This window comes from Homo sapiens, chromosome 5 (genome assembly GCF_000001405.40).
Source record: "Homo sapiens chromosome 5, GRCh38.p14 Primary Assembly".
In the NCBI taxonomy this organism is placed as follows: Eukaryota; Metazoa; Chordata; class Mammalia; order Primates; family Hominidae; genus Homo; species Homo sapiens.
The window spans coordinates 178,996,943-179,012,769 of record NC_000005.10 but is presented as its reverse complement, the minus strand read 5'-3'; the positions used below and the strand labels follow the sequence as shown (position 1 = coordinate 179,012,769).

The window sequence follows — 15,827 nt, the reverse complement described above, 5'->3', positions numbered from 1 at the left end:
GAATTTACATCCTTATTTCCAAATTAAGAAACAACAACAACAATTATGCTGCCTTTTTTCTGCTTTCATGTATTAAATATTGACACTGTTTACTCTGTGGTTTATTATTTTTTAATTAGGAAACATTCGATGCAATGCTTGAGAACGATAAATCAGTTTCTTTTTCACCAATAGAAAAAGTACAAGTAACTGCTTAGAGGCTTGTTGTGAAGATTAACCGAGGTAGAAAATATAAAAGTGATAGAGGCAGAAGGCAGAGAGGGGCAGGTTCCCGGAGTAACCAGTCCTGGGTAAATCCTTGGACTGAATTGAGAATCCTGCTTCCCATTTGGCACGCCTTCCTCTGATTGATCCCCATCCTTCACCTGTTTTACATATCCCTACCCTTTTCTAATTGGTTTTCTACACTATCATGCCCACCTTTGAGTAGTATCTTCACTTTAACCTTTTGTGCATACTCACAAACCAATCAGCACGTGCTCCCTATTCTGAGCCAATAAAAAGCCCCAGGCTCAGCCATATGGGGAACATTCCTGCCTTCAGGTAGGGGGACCACCCCCATGTTACCTCCCCATTAAAAGCTGTTTCAGCGCTCAGTAAAACTCCCCACCTGACTCACTCTTTGACTGTCTGCATGCTTAATTCTTCCTGGTTGTGAGACAAAAACCCAGACTTAGCTAAGCTATGGAGCAAAAATCCTGCATCAAAAGCACTTCGGACAGTGGCAAATAGCAAACACTAAATATGTATTAGGCATTATCATCTTATTATTATTTTCATTATTGCTTATTATTGTCCCCATTCTCCACCACCACCAGTGGTAACCATCCTCCTGGATTTTTGTCATTCCACTGATTCTTAAAAAATAAAATTTCCAAATATGTATCCATAAAATATCTGTCTAATTTTCTGCAGCTTGCTGTTTTGCTCATCATTGTGTTTGTAAGATTCAACTATTTTGATAGATGTCACTGAAATTCTTAATTTTGATTGTTCTTTAGTATACATTGTGCAACTATACAACAATTTATTTATTCATTATTCTGTCAGTGGTCATTGTGAGTTTTTTCCACAAACAACACTCATTGAATCCTGGTGTCCATATAATGAGAAATTTTTTTGGGGGGTGGCATTTGCAGAAGTGGAATTGCAGGGCTTTGGGTATATGCATTGTGAACCCCAAATATCTGAGACAGTTCTCCGTTAATTTAGAAAGTTTATTTTGTCAAGGTTGAGGATGTGTGCCTCAGGAGGTCCTGACAACATGTGCCTGACGTGGTCAGGGCGCAGCTTGGTTTTATACATTTTAGGGATACATGAGACATCAATCAATATATGTAAGATATACATTGGTTCCATCCAGAAAGATGGGACAACTCAAGCAGGGAGGGGGCTTCTGGGTTATAGGTAGGTGAGAGACAAAGGGTTCCATTCTTTTCAGTTTCTTTTTTGTTTGTTTGTTTGTTCTGAGGTGGAGTCTCACTCTGTTGCCCAGTCTAGAGTGTAGTGGCATGATCTCGGCTCATTGCAACCTCTGCCTCCTAGGTTCAAGCAATTCTCCTGACTCAGCCTCCTGAGTAGCTGGGATTACGGGTGCTTGCCACCGCACCAGGCTAATTTTTGTATTTTTAGTAGAGATGGAGTTTTGCCATGTTGGCCAGGCTGGTCTCGAACTCCTGACCTCAAGTGGTCCGCCTCAGCCTCCCAATGTGCTGGGATTATAGGCGTGAGCCACCATGCAGGGCTGCATTCTCTTGAGTTTCTGATTAGCCTTTCCAAAGGAGGCAATCACATATGCATTTATCTCAGTGAGCAGAAGGATAACTTTGAACAGAATGGGAGGCAGGTTTGCTCTAAACAGTTCCCAGCTTGACTTTTGCCTTTAGCTGAGTGATTTTGGGGCCCCAAGATTTATTTTCCTTTCACAGCATCTTCAACTTGACAATATAATGCCAAACTATGATGTGATTAAACTAATTTAGAGTAAAAATGTTTTATGAGAGTTCTTCACAATTCAATCAGGTGGAACAAAACAATTAAATGGTAACTCCTCATTGATGTTTTAATTTTAATTTTATTGATTGTTAAGGAAGTTGAACTTCTCCTTTGTTTACGGTCAGTTTGAGTTTCTTCTTTTGTGAAGTGCCCTGAAGTGTTCTGACAATGTTTCCATTGTGTTGTTTGTGTCTTTCTCACTGATGCATGTCTTATACCTATTATGCATATTGATTATTTGTCAATTACCTGCATTGCAGATGTCTTCTGGCAGTTCGTGGCAACAATTTTCATTCCCTTTATGGTGTATTTTGGTGAACAAAAGTTTGTAGTTTTATAGGCAATTTAGTAATTCTTTTCCTTTTGGGCTACAATGTTTAGTGTTTCTTTAACCATATTTAACAATCACTATACTTAGTTCAAAGAACATATTCTCATACATTGAAAAATCTTTTAATTTTCTTCTAAGATTTGTCTTTATCCATCTAGAATTAATTTTATGTATGGTATGAGGTAGGGATCCAATTTCATTCTTTTTCATTATGGTTACCTAAATTACTCAAAATCTTTTATTGATAATTTGTCCTTTTCCCTATAATTTGAAATGTCAGTTTTCCATATATATGGATTTCCATTAATAAATTTTCTATGTATATGTGTAACTTATTTTAAGGACTCTCTATTCTATACAGTTCATCTATATGTCTAAATCTGCACCATTATTGCTTATAAATTAATATAGCTTTGTGATACATCTTGATACATCATCTTGTTTTATCCTTGAAGAGGCACCTGATTATCTTTAGTCCTTTGATTTTCTACATATATTTTAGAATCAGCATGTTTCCCTGTGAACGCCTTTGGGATATAGTTTGGGGCTACATTGAATCTGTAGATCAATTTGAAAAGCAGCAGAATCTTCATATGACTGAGTCTTCCTATCCATGGACATTTTAACCACCTAATTTATCTAGTTCTTCTTTAAGTCTTTAAATAAAGTGTCTTAAGAGTTTCCTTAAAGATTTTTGCCCACCTTTGTTTAGATAATTCCTAGTTATTCTATATATTTTTGTAGCTCTTATAAATGTAATCTTTTTTAAGATTACGTTTTCTAACTTTTTGTGCCTGGTGTATAAAAGGCAAATGATTTTAGAATTGCTCTTATATTTATATATTATTTTCTATGTAGGTATCATGATTAATTTTATGTATCAACTTGACTGGTCCGTGGGGTGCCCAGACATTTGGTCAGACAGTATTCTGAGTGTGTCTGTGAGGGCATTTCCAGATGAGCTAACATTTGAATCAGTAGACTGAGTGAAGCAGATTGGTTTAATGCAGTGTAAGTGGGTCTTAGCCAATCAATTGAAGCTCTGAACAGAACACAAATGTTGACCTTCTCCCGAGTAAGAAGGAACTCCTCTTGCCTTGACTGCCTTGAGCTGGGACATCAGTTTTTTCTGGTTTTGGACTCAAACTGAAACATCAGCCTTGCATGGGTCTCAAGGCTACTGGCTGGACTGAAACTTACACCATGGGCTCTCCAGATTCTCAGCTATCTGGACTCAGACTGAAACTACACTACGGCTCTCCTGGGTCTCCAACTTGCCAACTGTAGATCTTGGAACCTTTCATCCTTCATAACTGCATAAGCCAATTCCTTCTAATAAATCTGTATAATATATCTGTCTATATAATAAATATGTACTTACATAACTCTGTATGTTACATCTATCTATTCTATCTATCTATCTATCTATCTATCTATCTATCTATCTATCATCTATCTATCTATTTATCTATTCTCTGTGTCTTTGGAGAACCCTGACATAGTAAGCAATCATATCACCTGCAAATGATGAAAGCTGTGTATTTTCCAAATCAGTCGTTTTATGTCTTTTTTTCTTGCACTGACTAGTGCCCCCTAGAGGGAATGATAATTGGAATTATTGTCTTGCTCTGATTTTAAAGGAAGTAGATACTTCAAATAATTCATCATGGAGTGCAATATTTTCTGTAGGCTTTTAGTAGATAACTTCATCAGTTTAAAGAAGATCCTTAGATTATGAAACATTTACAATTATGAATGAATATTAGATGTTATCAAATGCTTTTTCTGCATCCATTTAGATAATCATGTTTTTCCTTTAATCTGTTAATGCGGTGAATTACATTAATAGATTTCCTAAGTCATTAATCTGCTAAAGTGCATTTCTGGGACAAACCAGACTTGGTTATGACATTGTATGTATTTCAGTTTGCAAATATTGGACTAGGATTTTTGTATCTATATTCCTTAGTTTGACCTGTAAATTTTATTTCTTGTACTAAGTATTAGCCTCACGAAAGGCATTGTCAAATGTTTTCTTTTCTTCTATTCTGAAATTGTTTGTGAAAAAAATATATTTTGTTGCAGCACATGTTTCTGTATTGTGGATTAGTTTGATGATATGTGGAAAGTGTCTTGGTTTGTGTGGGATTTTCCCCCCAGCATATTAATATTTTACACTCAAAGTAAGAGGATCTGAATGCAGGCAAAACAACACAGCTGAGAGAGTACAACTTGAAAATATGGGGCTGTGCCTGTTGTAGCTTTGACTCAGTCTCTCTCAGCTTAGTGTGGCCCCTTGATCTCTCACAAACACTTCTGTTGGGTCTTCATAACTCAGTGGCATCAACCCTTCATCACATCCTTTCCCTCCAACATACTTTCATCTTTCTTAAAAGGTCAAGTTCTCAGTTTACTATAGTATGTATGTATAAATATGCACATATGTACTTATGTTTTTAACAATTTATTATGCCCTTTTAACTTTGCTGTTATTTTTCATTAGGATTGTGGTTTTCATTAGTGTTCTGGTTCCAAAGCTCCTTATGTTTTGAATGGTCTGTTACAATCCTATTATTCCAATACCTCTGTTTATTTTTTGTCTGCAGTACAACACAAGAATTTTCAGAAATACCTATACTGTGGTCTAGCAGAAACACCTTATTCATTCCTTTATTATTTTTTGGCATTTGTCTGAGCCTGGATCTCCACTTGCTGTCCCCTCTGCCTGGTAGCCATCAACATTGCTTTTTTCACATTCCTTCCGGTGTCTGCCCAAGTATTTCCTACCATAAAGGCCTTCTATATACTGAATTTGGTATCCACATGCAAAAGAATGAAGTTGGACCCCTACCTCACATCATATACAAAAATTAACTCCACTTGGATCAAAGACCTAAATGTGAGAGCTAAAGCAATAGAAAACTATATAGGTGGTGGTTCCCCAACACTGTGAATGCCCTATGATTACAGAATGGAAAACTACAACAACCAATCAGGTAGGACTACTCACGGCCAAGCCCTTTTAGGAGTAAAAATTTGGGTAGCCCCACCAGGTTAAGATCCACAGCCAGCTGAAGTGTGTGCTGAGGGCAACAGGAATATGGAATGGGTAGTGGAAGAAGATAGTAATAAGTACTACCTATGACTACATGACCAGTGATAGAAATAAGGACTGTACTTGAGTATTTTTTCCTTGTTTGGTTATGAATATGTTTTGGAAATATTTTTTCCCTCTCTTATCCCTCATCATGTAACGTACAGTGTGTTTGACTTTATGTCATAGTATTTAAGTATGGTTAACTTTACATCATAGCATTTAAGTTATGGCACATCAAGCAGAAGAGCAAACATCACCTAAAGACTTTTCATCTTCTGGGGAAAGGATTAGTGCACTTTCAGTTGTATGCAGGGGTTTATCCTGTTAGGCAGAAGTATGACCTTTAGTTGTCTTGGTTTGGAGATTGAATATGGTTTAAGCAGATACATATGCATGTCAAGTTGACATAGACTTCTGATGATTAATTCTATGTGTCAACTTGTCTAGCCCACAATACTGATATTTAGTTAAATATTATTTCAGATGTGTCTGTTACAGTGTTTTTGGATGATATTTACATTTAAAACAGTGGGCTTTGAGTAAAGCAGATTGCCTTCCATAATGTGGGTGGGCCTCATCCAATCAGTTGAAGGCCTGACTAGAACAAAAAACAGACCTCACCAGAGCAAGAAGGAATTCTGCCGGCAGATGGCCTTCGGACTTGAACTGCAACACTGACTCTTCCTGGGGCTCCAGACTGCCAAAGTGGCTAGGCTCCATAATCACACAAGCCAATTCCTCAAAACAAACCTCTCTCTCTCTCTCTCCCTCTCTCTCTCTCTCTCTCTCTCTGTGTGTGTGTGTGTGTGTGTGTGTGTGTAAGAGTTCTGTTCAAATTATAAATGTTAGACCCTTATCAGATGTATAGAATGTATCAAATGTTTAAAAATATTTTCTACTGTTCTCTGGTTTCCTTTTTTAGTTTCTTGATAGTTTTCTTTGATGGCAAAAGTTTTACATTTTGTTTTTAATTTACTTTGTTTAATTAAAAGTTTCCAATTTATTATTTCTTGGAGTGTTTGTGCTTTTCATACCATATCTAAGAGATTGTTGTCTAATCCAAGGGAATAATGATTTACATCTATGTTTTATTCTAAGAGTTTCATAGTTTTAAATCTTACATTGAAGTCTTTGAACCATTTTGATTAAATTTTGTGTATGATGTGAGGAAAGAGTCCAGATTCATATTTTTGCATGTATATCCAGTTATCCCAACACCGTTTGTTAAGAGACCATTTTCTTCCACATTAAATGGTTTCACCACCCTTGTCAAAAATCAATTGGCTGTAGATTTTGATTCCTTCCTTGAAAATCAATTGACTATAAATATGTTAGAATATATTTTTGGACTCCTAATTTTATTCCATTGATCTAGATATCCTTACGCTTATACCACACTGTTTTGGTCAGGGCCCCTTGCAATTCCATATATATGTGAGGATTGGCTTTGCCATTTCTGAAAAATATTAAATCTTCCAATCCATGAACACAGGGTATCTTTCTATTTATTTTAAGTTTTCTTTCATTTAATTCAGCCTTACTTTATAGTTACTAGTGCCCAAGTCTCTCACTGTCTTGGTGAAATTTATTGCTAAGTATTTTATTATTTTGAATACTGCTGTGAAAGGAATTTGTTTTTAATTTACTTTTGAGCTTAATTTAATTTATTTAATTTACTTTAATTTACTTAATTTAATTTTTATTTACTTTTGAGCTTATTGCTGATGTATAGAAATATATCTTATTTTCATATATGGGTCCCATACACTGCAAATTTGATGAATTAATTTATTAAGTATAGTAGGGTTTTTTTTGTACATTCTGTGTGATTTTTCCAAATAAAGGATCATTCATCTCTGAATAGAGAGTTTTACTTCTTCTTTTCCAGTATACATGGCTTTTATTTCTTTTTCCTGCCTAGTTGCTCTGGATAGAACTTCTGGTACAATGTTGAATAGCAGTGGTGAAAGTGGGCATTCTTGTGTTGCTCCTGATTTTAGGGGGAAAGCTTTCATCTTTTACCATTGAGTATGTTAGCCATGAGTTTTTCATAAATTCCCTTTACTGTGTTGAATGAGTCCCTTTTTTATTCCTAGTTTTCTGAGTGTTTTTATTCTAGAAGTATGTTCAATTTTTAAAAAGTGCTTTTCCTGCATTGATTGAGATTGATTGAGATGCTCGTGTGGCTTTTTTCCTTCATTCTACTAATGTGGTGAGTTATAGTGATTGATTTTCATATGTTGAACCACCTTTGCATTTCTGAGATTAATCTCGCATGCTCGTGGTGCATAATCCTTTTTACATGCTGCTGGATTCAGTTTTCTAGTATTATGTTGATGATTTTTTGCATCTATATTCGTAAGTGATAGTGGTCTATAGCTTACTTGTATATCTTTGTCCGGCTTGGTACCAGGTTAATGCGGGCCTCATATATAGAATGGTTGAGGAAGTGTTCTCTCTTCTTTTGTTGTTGTTGTTCTGTTTTTTTTTGTTTGTTTTTTTGTTTTTTTTTTTTTTTGAAGAGTTTGAGAAGGATGGATGTTAACTGTTTGCTAGAACTCACCCAGTGAAAGAAAGATTTTTCCTTTCTGGGAGATTTTTGATTGCTGGTAACAATATAAGTCTGTTAAGATTTTCTTTTTTTTTTTTTTTTTTTTTGAGACGGAGTCTTGCTCTGTCACCCAGGCTGGAGTGCAGCGGCGCGATCTAAGCTCACTGCAAGCTCCGCCTCCCAGGTTCACACCATTCTCCTGCCTCAGCCTCCCAAGTAGCTGGGACTACAGGCGCCCACCACTACGCCCGGCTAATTTTTTATATTTTTAGCAGAGATGGGGTTTCACTGGGTTAGCCAGGATGGTCTCGATCTCCTGACCTCGTGATCTGCTCGCCTCAGCCTCCCAGAGTGCTGGGATTACAGGCATGAGCCACTGCGCCTGGCCAGGTCTGTTAAGATTTTCTATTTTCTTCTTGAGTCAGTATTGGTAGTTTGTGTGTTCCCAGGAATGTGTTCACTTCATCTAGGTTATCTAATTTGTTAGCACACAATTGTTTGTAGTATTTTCTTATAACTATTTTTATCCCTCTAAGGTCAGTAACAATGTCCCCACTTTTATTTCTAACTTTTAGCACTGGGGGAGCACTGAATTAGGTAAAATAAAGACACCTTTCAAGTAGGGTCTTCCAGTGAACCATCACATGGGTCTGACAGGGGCAACTTTGCAGCCTTATGTTTTAGGGGAGTCTCATAAGCAACATTAAACTGGATTTTGTTTCACAAAAACTTGAAATTTTTGTCTCTTAAACTGAAACATTTAGCAGAATTACATTTATTTGAGTTACGAAGATACTTCAACTTAGTTCTCACATCTTACTTTTTGTTTTCTAATTGTCATACTTTTTTATGTTTTAAAATATTTAAATTGTGAAAAGTAACACATAAATTTAAAAAAAATGCAAGACCATGAATGTTCAGTGTAATAGAAGAGTGTAAATAAAACACCCACATAGGTGGGGCGCAGTGGCTCAGGCCTGTAATCCCAGCACTTTGGGAGGCCGAGGCAGGCGGATCACGAGGTCAGGAGATCGAGACCATCCTGGCTAACATGGTGAAACCCCGTGTCTACTAAAAATACAAAAAAATTAGCCAGGCGTGGTGGTGGGTGCCTGTAGTCCCAGCTACTCGGGAGGCTGAGGCAGGAGAATGACGTGAACTCGGGAGGCGGTGCTTGCAGTGAGGCGAGATCGCGCCACTGCACTCCAGCCTGGGCGACAGAGCAAGACTCCGTCTCAAAAAAATAAATAAATAAAATAAAATAAAATAAAATAAAAAACACCTGCATAATCCCTCACAACCCACAAGTGCTCTCACAAGTCACCTCCCAGTCATGATCCTTCTTTGCATTTCTTTGTGCTTTTACTACGGAAGTGTGCATCTCTACATACTGTGATTTACTTTGCCTGTTTATGGATATTATGAAAAATGGAATTACAGTATGCGTGTTCAATTATATGGACGATTAATCTGTGCTATTACTTGTCATTTTGGCTCACTCCTTTTTCTATATAATATTCCATTTCAGTGCATGGAATACCACAAGTTATTTATTCATTTTACAATGTACCTTTCATTTGTTCCATTTTTTTCTCTAATAAATAACAGTACCTTGAATGTTCATATGCATATATCTGTGCATTCATTTCTCTAGGGAATATACCTACAAATATAATTGCTGAGACCTAGGGCATGTGTATCTTCGACTTTAGTAAATAATTCAAGACTGTGTTCTTGCAAATTGCACCAATTTACCCTCCCACTGGCAGTGCATGAGGATTCCTATGTTTCATCACCCTTAACACAGGGAATTTTGAATCTCTTCAATTTTAGCCTTTCTGCTGGATAGTTCATTGTGGTTTAAATCTACATTTCCCTAATTTTAACAAGGCTAAATTTTTTCATATTGTTATAGATATTTTGATACCCTTTTTTGTGAACTGACTGCTCAAATCTTTTGCCCATTTTTCTAATGTGTAATTTTTGTTTTTATGATTGATTCATAGAAGTTCAGTCTGCATGCTGTAGCCTAGTGCTTTGTTGGTTATATGAGTTATAAATATCTTCTCCCACTTGGTGGCTTGCCTTTTCCCTCTCTTTATGGAGTCTTTTCCTCTTGTTTTGTTTTCTAGAAAAATAGTGTTATGAACTCTTATAAACCTATCATCTAGCTTTGATCATTATCAACATTTCATCCTTATCCTTATGCTGTCTGTAAGAGAGTTCTTAATTTTAAGGTTGTCAAATGTATAGTTCCTTTCTTTTATGATTAGTTTTTTTGTGTGTTCAGTTTAAGATATCTTTCCCTAAGGTCATGAAATACTCTCACCTACAATCTTTGACCTATTTATTGGTTTGTGATATGGTTTGCCTCTGTTCCCCATGCAAATCTCATGTTGAAATGTGATCCCGAGTATTGGAGGTGGGGCCGGGTGGGAGGTGACTGGATCATGGGGGCAGACTTGCCCGTTGCTGTTCTCATGATAGCGAGCGAGCTCTCACAAGGTCTGGTTGTTTAAAAATGTGTAGCACTTCCCCCTTCTCTCTACTCCTCTTGCTCTGGCCATGTGAAGACACGCGTGCTTCTCCTTCCCCTTCTGCCATGATTTTAAGTTTCCTGAGGTCTCCTCAACCGTGTTTCCTGTAGAGCATGTGGAATTGTGAGTCAATTAAAACTTTTTTCTTCATAAATTACCTAATCTCAGGTAGTTCTTTATAGCAGTGTGAGAACAGACTAATACAGTTTGCATTTCCCATTTAGGTAAATAATGCATCTGAATTGATTTTGGTGTGTGGAATGAGGTAGGGGTATAGTTCCTTTTATTTTCATAGGGGCACCTAATTTTCCCACTTCATTGATTGAAAAGACTGTCTTTTATCCACAACTCTGTAGTGTCATCATTCCCAGGCTTTTTCTCTTGGGGGGTGTGTGTGTGTGTGTGTGTGTGTGTGTGTGTGTGTGTGTGTTGCTGTGGCCTCCAGCTGGCCCTCCAGAGCCCTGTCTCAGGCTTAGTGGTCGCGGTCGTTGGGGATCCTGAGCTAAGCCAATGCTGATCATGAGAATCCCAGTCACACAACTGCCAAGTGGCTTCCATCCCTGGCCGAGCCCGCGAGGCTGACTCTGGTCACACAGCTGCCGAGTGGCTTCCATCCCTGGCCGAGCCCGCGAGGCTGACTCTGGTCACACAGCTGCCGAGTGGCTTCCATCCCTGGCCGAGCCCGCGAGGCTGACTCTGGTCACACAGCTGCCGAGTGGCTTCCATCCCTGGCCGAGCCCGCGAGGCTGACTCTAGCTATTGCCTGTGATGGTGTCTGTGCCACAGGGGCAGAGGTCAAAAGTTATGACAGAGGGGCAAAGCCAAACATGTTTACTCACTGGTTTTCTATTGGTGCTGTAACAAGTTACCACAAACTCAGTTCATGACAACAACGCAAATTGATTCTCTCACAGTCTGAAACCAGTTTCAGGGGATGGAAATCAGGGTGTCAGCAGGACTGCCCCCATCCAGGTGCTCTCGGGGAGATCCACTTCCTTGCCTTTCCCAGGTGTCAGAGGGGCATTCCTTGGCCCTTTCTGCATCTTCAAAGGCTACATTTAGCATTGTTGCATCACTCCCTGCTGCCATCTTCATGGCACCTTCTCTTATTCCTGAGGGCCCTACGATTACATGGGGCCCACGTGACAATTCAGGATCTCACAACCTTAATCTGATCACGTCTATAAAGTCCCCTTTGCTATATAAGGCAGCACTCACAGGTTCTGGGAATTAGAACTTCGACAGAAGCAAGGGTATTATTCAGCCTACACATGTCCCTTTAGGAAAAAGTTTTCTTGGCTAGGCATGGTGGCTTGTGCCTGCAATCTCAGCACTTTGGGAGGCTGAGGTGGAAGGATTGCTTGAGCCTAGGAGGTGGAAGCTGCAGTGAGCCATGATTGGGCCACTGTACTCCAGTCTGGGTGACAGAGCGAAACCCTGTCAAAAAAAAAAAAGCCCCGAAAAAGTCAAAAAGAAAAAGTTTTCTGAGCCATGTTCTGAGTAGATGTTCACTGTAGATCTGGGATGACTTCTCGGAGATATATTCTATGGCCTTGTTGTATAGTACTTTGATTTCTCTAATTTTGAAGAAAATTTGTGTTCTGGTTAAAGATCTTCCTGTTTAAAAACAAAACAATATCCCCTAACTAATGGGTTCCTTAAAATGAAGTTTCTCAAATATATTTCATGTTTGAAATCCCTCATTGCCCTGTGGAAAGGCAGCTTAAATAAAACACAGCCTTTATAAACCAGTGTCTGGTGCATTGTGCACTTAAACATTTCTGTTTCAAAACGGAGGCAGTTCCTCCATTATCAAAACTGTGAGCCCAAGAGTTGGTGTTCACGTTGAACTTCAAGCCAATGCCAATGCCAAGCAATAAAAACCACATGGACTGGTATCATGAAAATGATGAATTCTAAACCCCAATATGATGCGTTCAATTCCTTTGGAAAGCTGTTTGGGCCTTTTACTTAGGCTAAGATTCAGATTTGATCAAATTACTTTATGATTTTCCTTTTGAAAATACTCCCTCTCGGCCAGGCGTGGTGGCTCACGCCTGTAATCCCAGCACTTTGGAAGGCAGAGGCAGGCGGATCATGAGGTCAGAAGATCGAGACCATCCTGGCTAACACGGTGAAACCCCATCTCTACTAAAAATACAAAAAATTAGCCAGGTGTGGTGGCGGGTGGCTGTAGTCCCAGCTACTCTGGAGGCTGAGGCAGGAGAATGGCGTGAACCCGGGAGGCGGAGCTTGCAGTGAGCAGAGATCGCACCACTGCACTCCAGCCCGGGCGACAGAGCGAGACTTCCTCTCAAAAAAAGAAAATACTCCCTCTTCATTTATATAATGTCACAAACAGGCAAAACTGTACCACGGGTTATTTAGGGATAGACACTTATTTTATTATGGATTCCAAATTAACCTACACTTCATGCATTTCGTTGTTGTTGTTGTTAGTTTTGAGACAGAGTCTCGCTCTGTCACCCGGGCTGCAGTGCAGTGGTGTGATCTTGGCTCACTGCAACCTCCGCCTTCTGGGTTCAAGTGATTCTCCTGCCTCAGCCTCCCAAGTAGCTGGGATTACAGGCACGCACCACCGCGCCCGGCCCACTTGCATTTCTATGCCACACTCATAAGCGGATCATGAGGTCAGAAGATCGAGACCATCCTGGCTAACACGGTGAAACCCCATCTCTACTAAAAATACAAAAAATTAGCCAGGTGTGGTGGCGGGTGGCTGTAATCCCAGCTACTCAGGAAGCTGAGGCAGGAGAATCATTTGAACCGGAGAGGCGGAGGTTGCATCACTGCACTCCAGCCTGGGCGACAGAGCGAGACTCTGTCTCAAAAAAAAAAAAAAAAAAAAAAAAGATACGGACACTGAGGCTAAATAAAGGTACAGAGACTTGCTCAAGGTCACCTTGATAAAAAGTGACCAGGCCAAGATTTAGACCTGGGCTCTGTAGCCCTGAGTGTGCACTGAACCACCCCCCTATAGTCCCACTGGGTGCCCTTTGCTCTTTCCCCTGGATGCCTCAGGCCCAGTCAGAGGGTCTATGGAGGGAGTTATGTCCCCAAATTCTTACGCGGAAGCCCTACTGGCAATATCAGTGCTGTAAGAGTGGACGGAGCTGTAACAGGGGATGAGGTTAGATGAGGTCGCGAGGGTGGAGCCCGAATCCGATAGGCCTGGTGGCCTCATGAGCAGAGGACAAGAGGACTCTCCCTCCTCCTGCACACACCAAGAAAAGGCCACATGAGGACGCAAGGAGAAGAGGATGGTCTGCAAGCCAGGGAGAGGCCCGCCCCAGAACCCACCACGATGGCACCCTGATCTCAGACGCCCAGCCTCCAGAGCAGTGGGAAGACAAATCTCTGTTCTTTAACCCTCTGTCTGTGGGGCTTTGTTATGGCCGCCCAGCTGAGGAAAACAGCCACAGGGTCTGCAAAGCTATGGGGTGTGACCACAGGGCAGTGCGTTTGTGGCATCCAGACCCACACTTGTGCCGTGGTGAAGTTCAATGAACAGAAGCTTGTGACAGACTCCTTTGACGACACTGTGGCTTGCTGGGAATGGAGTTCCGGAGCCAGGATCCGGCACTTTCGCGGGCACACGCGGGCAGTGTTTAGCGTGGACTACAATGATACCTTGGTGAGCGGCTCTGCGGCCTTCACTGTGAAAGGATGGACTTTATCTACTGGGGCATGCCTGAGCACACTCACTGGGCACACGCCATGGGTCACCAAGGTAGTTCTGCAGAAGTGCAAAGTCAAGTCTCTCTTGCACACAGTCCTGAAGGATACCTCCTCTTAAGTGCAGACAAATATGAGATTAAGATTTGGCCAACTGGGACAGAAATCAACTGCAAGTGCTTAAAGACATCCTCTTGTCTCTGAGGTTAGAAGTATCCGCCTGCAGCCAAGACTTCGTGTTGATGGCAAATACACTGTTTGTAGTTCAGCCCTCCGTCTCTAGCAGCGGGACTTTGCCAACAGTTATGATATTCTCAGGGTCATCAAGACTCCTGAGATAGCAAACTTGGCCTTGCTTGGCTTTGGAAATACTGTTGCCCTACTGTTTGGCAGCTGCCACCTGTACATCATGGACTTGCAGACCCAGAGCCTCATTAATCGCTGGCCTCTTCCAGAGTACAAGAAATCAAAGAGAGGCTCAAGCTTCCTGGCAGGCGAAGCATCCTGGCTGAATGGAGCAGATGGGCACAATGACACGGGCTTGGCCTTTGCCACCAGTATTCCTGACCACAGTATTCACCTGGTGTGGAAGGAACACAGCTGACACCATGAGCCCCCACCACCGACTGACTATGGGTGCTAGGGCGGGGGTTTTGGGGTGCAACCTCTATGCCAGCTGACTGCATGAACCAAAGTTCTCACCTATGGTATCATCACGCAGTGCACGTCATTTATCTGTTTGCCAGGGGGCCAGGGCTTGGGGTGGGGGAGGGCTTGTTTTACTGACACACATGTAGCATGCTAACGGGGTACATCATGGACTTCATTTGTACTCAGTTAGGTTGGTGAGTGTAAAAGGATCCATTCTGGTTCATCTTTCTTGAGTGGAATATTGGTTTTATATAAAGAAAGTTAAATGATTTGTTAATCTGCTGATTGGTTGCGTATGAAATCACATTGTCTGTTATTAAAGCTTTTCACCATAAAAAAAAAAAAATCTCTGTTCTTTGACTGTCTGTGTGGAACTCTGCCATAGCAGCCCAGCTGAGGAAAACAGTCCCAGGGTCAGGGAACAGCAGGACTTCTTCTTGGGGCAACCTTTTAAATGACGTCCTGTGCATTTTGTACAAATTCTGTGCTACCTCATCGAGCCTGAGCAGCTGTATCAGGATGCTGTAAGAGGGCCCTATGGCCTGTGCGAGGTGCACTTTGGCCTTCTGCCCCTGCACGGGGCTGAATAAATTATGCTGAATGTTCCCTCCTTCCTCAATCCTTGTTTCTGGGCCCCTCTGGTGCCTACGCTCCTGCTTCTCCTCTAACTCCTCGGCCACCCCCTCCCAGTCTCCTTACTTCTGCTCAGACCTGCATGTTGGGGTTCCTGGGGCTCCAGCCTCACTGTCTGTCCACACTCTCAGCCCCAGGGAACTCCTGCGTCCCACGGCTTTAAACGCCTCCGTGGCGATCCCACCTCAGCTTTCTCTCCCGCCCTGGCCTCTTCCCTCAGTTCCAGGCTCATGAACCACGAAGCCTCCACTTTCCTGCCCAAACCCGAACTCTTGGCTTCTGCCCTCCTTGACCTGCTCAGCTGTGTCTCTGGTCCTCATATTCTCAGGGAATGCC

General features: G+C 41.0%; 1 pseudogene; it reads left to right on the top strand.

Moving 5' to 3' along the window:
* Positions 13,956–14,999, top strand: LOC100288803 (F-box and WD repeat domain containing 2 pseudogene; annotated as a pseudogene).